Source organism: Homo sapiens, chromosome 1 (genome assembly GCF_000001405.40).
Source record: "Homo sapiens chromosome 1, GRCh38.p14 Primary Assembly".
NCBI classification, from domain to species: Eukaryota; Metazoa; Chordata; class Mammalia; order Primates; family Hominidae; genus Homo; species Homo sapiens.
The window spans coordinates 36,180,921-36,189,792 of NC_000001.11; the positions used below are offsets into that span (position 1 = coordinate 36,180,921).

At 50.4% G+C, this 8,872-nt stretch overlaps 1 annotated feature.

Moving 5' to 3' along the window:
• Positions 6,937-7,635: an enhancer, noted in NCBI's record as "H3K27ac-H3K4me1 hESC enhancer chr1:36653458-36654156 (GRCh37/hg19 assembly coordinates)". NCBI's record gives its function as "activates a minimal SCP1, AML or CMV promoter by ChIP-STARR-seq in naive H9 embryonic stem cells {active_cell/tissue: H9 hESC(naive)}" and the evidence as "EXISTENCE:reporter gene assay evidence [ECO:0000049][PMID:30033119]".

Here is an 8,872-nt window from a genome sequence, read left to right on the forward strand (position 1 = left end):
CCTCGGGCTGGTGGTATTAGTCCTGAACTCCTGCCCTATGGTCTTCCAGTTTAGTCATGAATTCATTCATTTATTTATTCAACAAATACTGTTGCATCTACTCTGTGTCAGGCAGTAGGCTATGCACTGGGGATGCAATAGTCAGAAAGGATGTAATCTCTGTCCTTGTGCAGTTTATAGTCTAGTGGGTGAGTGTCGTGGACACTGTGGGCTGCCCACTCAACATCTATTCCCATTGCCCCTTCCTCATTCCAAATAATCTCTATTCAGGTAGCCATCTTTCTTTTAGATGGCACCCTGTGCTTCAGTGGAGGTGGATCTTAGCCGCAGGGGTGAATCGTGATTGTGACTGGGATCAAAAACAATGGTCCCAAACCCCTCATGATTGACTGGTGTAGGCATGGACATGTGACACAGTTTCAGCCAGTAGACATGAAGGGAAGCCTCCTGGGGGCTTCAGGAAGGGTATCCTCATTTTTTTTTTTTTGAGACGGAGTCTGGCTCCATCGCCCAGGCTGGAGGGCAGTGGTGCAATCTCAGCTCACTGCAACGTCCACCTCCCAGGTTCAAGCGATTCCCCTACCTCAGCCTCCCGAGTAGCTGGAACTACAGGCGCCAGCCACCACGCCTGCCTAATTTTTGTATTTTTAGTAGAGATGGGGTTTCACCGTGTTAGCCAGGATGTTCTCTTATCTCCTGACCTTGTGATCCGCCTGCCTCGCCCTCCCAAAGTGCTGGGATTACAGGCGTGAGCCACCGGCATCCTCATTTTTGACAATGTGGTCGTCAGCCTCTGTAATGACCTCTCGATGATGTCCCCTACCTCCTAGTATTCACACCCTTGTGTAGTTCCTTCCTATGTTGTATCAGGGTTGGGTTGAGTGGCCAATAGAATACGGCAGAAGTGATGGTGTGTCACATCTGAGATTAGGTATAAAAAACACTGCACTCATGCCTGTAATGCCAACACTTTGGGAGGCCAAGGCCAGTAGATTGCTTCAGCCCAAGAGTTCTAAGACCAGCCTAGGCAACATGGTGAAACCCCATCTCTAACAAAAATTCAAAAATTAGCCAGGCGTGGTGGCACATGCCTGTAATCCCACCTACTCAGGAGGCTGAAGTGGGAGAATCATCTGAGCCTGGGAAGTCAAGGCTGCAGTGAGCCCTGATTGTGTCACTGCACTCCAGCCTGGGCAACAGAGTGAGACCCTATCTCAAAAAACAAAAACAGGACAGGCGTGGTGGCTCACGCCTGTAATCCCAGCACTTTGGGAGGCCAAGGTGGGCAGATCACGAGGTCAGGAGATCGAGACCATCCTGGCTAACACAGTGAAACCCCGTCTCTACTAAAAATACAAAAAATTCTCCGGGCGTGGTGGCGGGCACCTGTAGTCCCAGCTACTCGGGAGGCTGAGGCAGGAGAATGGCATGAACCTGAGAGGCGGAGGTTGCAGTGAGCCGAGATCGCGCCACTGCACTCCAGCCTGGGTGACAGAGGGAGACTCTGTCTCAAAAAAAAAAAAAAAAAGCAGCAGCATTTAGGCCGGGCATGCTGGCTCATGCCTGTAATCCCAGCACTTTGGGAGGCTGAAGCAGGCGGATCACGAGGTCAAGAGTTCAAGACCAACCTGGCCAACATGGTGAAACCTCATCTCTACTAAAAATACAAAAAATTAGCCGGGTGTGGTGGTGCGCGCTTGTAGTCCCAGCTACTCGATAGGCTGAGGCAGGAGAATCGCTTGAACCTGGGAGGCGGAGGTTGCAGTGAGCCGAGATCTTGTTACTGCACTCCAGCCCAGGTAACAGTGCGAGACTCCATCTCAAAAAAAAAAAAAAAAAAAGCAGCATTTAAACTGGACCTGAAGAAGGATAGGGAGGAGCCAGCCTTGTGAAAGGAAGGAGGAGGCAAGTTGCAGATGGAGGGGTCAGTATGCAGGAGGCTGGGAATTCCAGGGACAAAGGAGCAGGAGCTCCTCTTGCTGGAGCATCAAAGGGGAGAGGTGCTAGATGGGGTTGGAGAGGTGGGCAGGGCTAAGTCACAGCGCTCTAGGGACAGTAAGGGGCAGGAAGGGACTAGCACACTCATTCAGCTCTCTGCTTGGTGAGAGCTCCTATATGTATGCCCCTCCCGGCCTCCCCTCCTCAGCCATCACCCACCAGCTCCTATGTACAGTGAGGCAGAGGTGCCAACATTTCCCTGAAGGGCAGAACTCTGAATACTCTTATGGGGGAATTGTTTACTCATTCATTTAGTCAATCAGTAAATTGCCTGTGGAGCACCAGCTGAGCACCGGAGGGAAACGATGGTAAGCAAAAACCAGACGTAGAAGCTCCTGGCGCTTCCTGGCAAGGAAGATGGGTATAAACCAAATCACCATATCACCACAGGAACAAATGTTAAAAAAGAAAATGTGGTGAGTGCTGTGAAGTCAAACATAGGGAGCAGTTAAGAGCGTATACAGGGGGACCTAAACTAGCTTCAGGTCGGATAAGATATCCCTGAATGAATGGTGTGTAATCAGATCTGATGGGTGAGTAGGTGTTGACTGGGCAAAGTCAGGAAGGTAGAGAAAGAAGGAGAGGGAAAGGACTGGATTCCAGAACAAGGGAAACCACATGCACAGGCTGTGGATGGGAAGGAGGTATGTTCAAGTATCTAGAGGACTAAGCAGAGCTGAAGGAGTCTGTTTTTGCTCACCCCAGAGCCTGGTGGAACAGGCACTCAATATTTGTTGAATTAAGAAATGTCAGTTGAGGAGGTGGAGCTTGGCATGAGGTGAGCTAGACCATGCAAGGCCTTGTAAGGCTGTGGTCAAGAGCTTGGATTTTATTCCAAGGGCCATGGGAAGCCACTGAAGGCTATTCAACAGGGGGTGGAAGGGTGGCATGATCAGATAGGCAGTTTTTTGTTTTGTTTTGTTTTGGTTTTTTGAGACGGAGTTTTGCTCTGTGGCCCAGGCTGGAGTGCAGTGATGTGATCTCTGCTCACTATAACCTCTGCCTCCGGGGTTCCAGCAATTCTCCTGCCTCAGCCTCCCGAGTAGCTGGGACTTACAGTCACACACCACCACCTCCGGCTAATTTTTGTATTTTTTTTTTTTTTTTTTTTTTTTTTGAGATGGAGTCTCGCTCTGTCACCCAGGCTGGAGTGCAGTGGCGCGATCTCGGCTCACTGCAAGCTCCACCTCTCGGGTTCACGGCATTCTCCTGCCTCAGCCTCCCAAGTAGCTGGGACTACAGGCGCCAGCCACCATGACTGGCTAATTTTTTTGTATTTTTAGTAGAGACAGGGTTTCACCGTATTAGCCGGGATAGGATGGTCTCGATCTCCTGACCTCGTGATCCGCCCGCCTCGGCCTCCAAAAGTGCTGGGATTACAGGCGTAAGCCACTGTGCCTGGCCTAATTTTTGTATTTTTAGTAGAGATGGGGTTTCACCATATTGGTCAGGCTGGTCTCAAACTCCTGACCTCAGGGGATCCACCTGCCTTGGTCTCCCAAAGTGCTGGGATTACAGGCGTGAGCCACCGCGCCTGCCAAATAGGCTATTTTATTAGACCACTCTGGCTTTTTGGTGGAAAACTGATCGACAGAAACTTGATTATAAACTGGAAGACAAACCAAGAAGTGATTGCTGAGGTGCAGATAAGAGATGATAGAGGCTCATGCTCGGGAGATAGAGATGGAGAGGAGTGTGTAACATAAATGTACTTATTCATTCAAAGAACATGTATTGAGCATCTTGCTGGTCACAGTAGCTCACACCTGTAATTCTAGCACTTTGGGAGGCTGAGATGAGTGGACTGCCTGAGCTCAGGAGTTTGAGACCAGCCTGGGCAACCAGGTGGAAGCCTGCCTCAATAAAAAATATATACATGCAGGGCTGGGCATGGTGGCTCACGCCTGTAATCCCAGCACTTTGGGAGGCCGAGGTGGGCAGATCACGAAGTCAGGAGATAGAGACCATCCTGGGTAACATGGTGAAACCCCGTCTCTACTAAAAATACAAAAAATTAGCCAGGCGTGGTGGCGGGCGCCTGTAGTGCCAGGTACTTGGGAGGCTGAGGCAGGAGAATGGCATGAACCCGGGAGGCGGAGCTTGCAGTGAGCCGAGATTGTGCCACTGCAGTCCAGCCTGGGAGACAGAGCAAGGCTCCCTCTCAAAAAAAAATAAATAAATAATAAGCCGGGCACGGTGGCTCACGCCTGTAATCCCAGCACGCTGGGAGGCCGAGGTGGGTGGATCACAAGGTCAGGAGATCGAGACCATCCTGGCTAACACGGTGAAACCCCGTCTCTACTAAAAATACAAAAATTAGCCGGGTGTGGTGGTGGGTGCCTGTAGTCCCAGTTACTCCGGAGGCTGAGGAAAGAGAATGGTGTGAACCCGGAGGTGGAGTGCAGTGAGCCGAGACCATGCCACTGCACTCCAGCCTGGGCAACAGACCGAGACTCTGTCTCAAAAAAGAATATACATATATATATATGTATACATATATGCAAAAATTGGTCCAGTGTGGTGGTGCATGCCTGTAGTCCCTGCTACTCGGGAGGCTGAGATGGGAGGATCGCTTGAGCCCAGGAGGCTGAGGTTGCAGTGAGCTGAGATCACGCCACTGCACTCCTTCCTGGGTGACCGAGTGAGACCTTGTCTCAAAAAAAACAAAAAACAAAAAACAAAAACAACAAACAACAAATATCTATTGAGCATCTATTATGTACCAGGCTCAGAGGTGCTGGAGATTTTTAGATGAGCAAAAATTGACATGGTTCTTACCTCATGGAACTTTATTAGTAATTAATTAAATAATATTACAAACAAATGTACAATTACAATTACAATTATGACAAACAGTGGCTCACTCCTACAATCCCGGCACTTTGGGAGGCCGAAGAGCAGGGATCTCTTGAGTCCAGGAGCCTGAGACCAGCCTGAGCAACATGGCGAAACCCTGTCTCTATAAAAAATACCAAAAAAATAGTCAGATGTGGTGGTGCACACCTGTAGTCCCACATACTCAAGAGGCTGAGTGGGAGGATTACTTGAGCCCAGGAGGTTGAGGCTGCAGTGAGCCGTGATTGTGCCACTGCACTCCAGCCTGGGCAACAGAGTGAGACCCTGTCTCAAACAACAAAAAAACCCAAACCAAACTAAAATTTTAAAAGACAGTGAATAAGCTGGACACAGTGGCTCAAGCCTGTAATCCCAGCACTTTGGGAGGCCGAGGCAGGCAGAACACGAGGTCAGGAGATCGAGACCACCCTAGCTAACACAGTGAAACCCCGTCTCTACTAAAAATACAAAATTAGGCTGGGCGCGGTGGCTCATGCCTCTAATCCCAGCACTTTGGGAGGCCCAGGCGGGCGGATCACGAGATCAGGAGATTGAGACCATCCTGGCTAACACGGTGAAACCCTGTCTCTACTAAAAATACAAAAAAATTAGCCGGGCGTGGTAGCGGGCACCTGTAGTCCCAGCTACTCGGGAGGCTGAGGCAGGAGAATGGCGTGAACCTGGGATGCGGAGCTTGCAGTGAGCCGAGATCACGCCATTGCACTCCAGCCTGGGTGACAGAATGAGACTCCGTCTCAAAAAAAAAAAAAAAAGAAAAAAGAAAAACCCGTCTCTACTAACAATACAAAAATTAGCTGGGTGTGGTGGCTCACATCTGTAATCCCAGCTACTCGGGAGGCTGAAGCATGAAAATCACTGGAACCCGAAAGCAGAGGTTGCAGTGAGCCAAGATCATGCCATTGCACTCCAGCCTGCGTGACAGAGCGAGACTCTGTCTCAAAAAAAATTTTTTTAAAGAGGTGTGAGATTCCAGGCAGAGGAAACAGCACACGTGAAGTCCCCATGATGAGCATGGGCAGTGTAGCCGGAACCTAGAGATTGAGAGGGAGCATGGTGTCAGAGAGGTGGGAAGGACCAGACCACGAAGGACCCATGCGCCATGCTAAGTAAGAGTTTATTACAAGAGTGCTGGGAAAGTGCCTGAAAGGTTTCAGCAGATGGGCAACATAGTCAGATTAACAATTTGAGAAAAGATGATCAGGACTACCACCTGGAGAAGGGACTGAGGAAAGGGGAAGAGTGGTAGTGAGAAGTCCAGACAGGAGCACCAATCCTGGTGAGAGATGGGGACAGGCCATGAGTTTGACTTGACTTGGCACTCTGTGGATAGCGATTTCCTTTTTTTTTTCTTTCTTCTTTTTTTGGGGGGTGGGGAGGATGGAGTCTTGCTCTGTTTCCCAGGCTGGAGTGCAGTGATGAGATCTTGGCTTACTGCAACCACCATCTCCCCGGCTCAAACCATCCCCCCACCCCAGCCTCCCAAGTAGCTGGGACTACAGGCACATGCCACGATGCCTGGCTAATTTTTGTATTTTTGGTAGAGACAGGGTTTCGCCATCTTGCCCAGACTGGTCTTGAACTCCTGGCCTCAAGTAATCCTCCCGCCTCAGCCTCCCAAAGTGCTAGGATTAATTACAGGCATGAGCCACCGCACCAGGCCTCTTCTTTTTTTTTTCTCTTTGAGACAGGGTCTCACTCTGTCACCCAAGTTGGAGTGCAGTGGCACCATCATGGCTCACTGCAGCCTCAACCTTCTGGGCTCAAGGGATCCTCCTGTCTCAGCCTCCTGAGTAGCTGGGAATACAGGCACACACCACCATGCCTGGTTAATTATTTTTAATTTTTTCCTGTAGAGACAGGGTCTCGCTATATTACTCACACTGGTCTTGAACTCCTGGACTCAAGTGATCCTCCTGCCTCAGCCTCCCAAAGTGTTGGGATTACAGGTGTGAGCCAGGACAGCAATTTCTTATGCAAATGTGGTGCTCACAGGAAGGGTCTGATCCCACAGCTCAGGAAAGAGGAGCCAGGAGGGAAGGAGGGAAGAACACAGAAGTTCTAGGAGAGACTCAGCCTTTAGGAGCCTGGAGTGTGGCTCCTCTGAGACAGCAGGGCCCTAGGGGGCAGTGAGGGCTTTGGAAGAACTGGCCCAGGCTGCAGGGAGGTAGCCTCCAGGTCTGATTTCCTGGTTTCCAGCTGGAGATTGAGGAATGTCCGGTCTGTTCCAGGCCCTGACTGAGCCTGAAGAGAGCGGAGGTGGAGGCAGAAGCCATCCCCTCTGGAGATCCCTCCCTTTCCCCATCTCTGCCCTTTCCCCAGTAGGGCCAGACTAGGCAGGGCCAGAGGAAGGCAGCAAAATGCCCTTCCCTCCTCCCCTCTTCATCCCAGTCGCCAACGCTCCTGAACTCCAGCTCTGTTACAACACCCCCGCCCCTCAACACACACACAATCTTTCTTTAACAGGACTCCCCAGCTCCACTGTGTGTGCCCGTGGGCCCTCTCAAAGGAACATTCAGTCCAACCCGAAGCCTGTGCCCTGCTTCCCAATGAATGGCGATCTCGCTCCACCTGGTGGTTACATGAGCACATTGGCAAGGCAGTTGAGGTTGGAACTGCCAGGTCCACCATGGACCAGACCACAGGCCTATGGCTGATGTCCTGGCTGCAGGAGATGTGTGCTCTACTCTAGACTTGGCCAGTGACTCACTCTATAACTAGGCAACCCTCCTGACCTCTGTGAGCTTCAATTTCCTCATCTGCAAATTAGGGCTAGTGATATGGGTAAGGTATTCCTTGAACAAACACACAGAATAAGAGTCTTAGTTGCAAGGTCCCCTTCCCACCATGAGGGGCCATGATATCCTGAGGTAGCTCAACATCACCTCCTGTGTACTGCCAGTCCCTTCCCCAAACCACTCCACTTTGGGACAGCCGTATTAGACATGTCCCAATGTGGCCAGAACATTGAGCTCTAATTGACCAACAGGGCATGGAGTGCAATGGCGTGATCATGGCTCATTGCAGCCTGGACCCCTCGGGCTTGAGTGGTTCTCCCACCTCAGCTTCCTAAGTAGCTGGGACCACAGGTGCACACCACCATGCCTGGCTAATTTTTAAATTTTTTGTGGAAACAGATCTCGTTTTTTGTCCACGTTGGTCTTGAAATCCTGGCCTTAAATGATCCTCCTGCCTCCGCCTCCCAAAGTGCTAGGATTACAGGTGTGAGCCACCGCCCTTGGCTGGTAAGGACATGGTCTTTGCCTTCAGTGCATTCAGCCTAGAAGTGGAAGAATACATAAAAATAGAATACAAAGCCAGCGCGGTGGCTCACGCCTGTAATCCCAGCACTTTGGGAGGCCAAGGTGGGTGGATCACCTGAGGTCAGGAGTTTGAGACTAGCCTCAACATGGAGAAACCCCATCTCTACTAAAAATACAAAAAAATTAGCCGGGTGTGGTGGTGCATGCCTGTAATCCCAGCTATTTGGGAGGCTGAGGCAGGAGAATTGCTTGATCCTGGGAGGCGGAGGTTGCGGTGAGCTGAGATCACGCCGTTGCACTCCAGCCTGGGCAACAAGAGCGAAACTCTGTCTCAAAAAAAAAAAAAAATAGAATACAGTGCGAGGTCAGTGACATAATTAAGCACACAGTGCTTTGGGAATATAAAGGATAATTTTTTAAAAAAATCTTTAGAGATGAGGGTCTTATTAAGTTGCCCAGGCTAGACTCAAACTCCTGGGCTCAAGGGACCCACCTGCCTCAGCCTTCCTAGTAGCTGGGACTTCAAGTGTATACCACCATACCTGACAAGGAAAAATATTTGACCTGGGTTCAAGCAGGGAGAGACTGTCAAAGGGAGGCCTCCTGTAGGAGGTAATACCTGAGAATATCCTCTGAATTAAGGGTTAAAAACTTGAACGACTCCCAAGGGGCAGCCCCTGTCACTCCCCTCTGGTCCACAGTTGCCAGGTCGAATTGGATTCCAGTATGGCTTGCGGTGGCCTACCAAGGGTAGGATG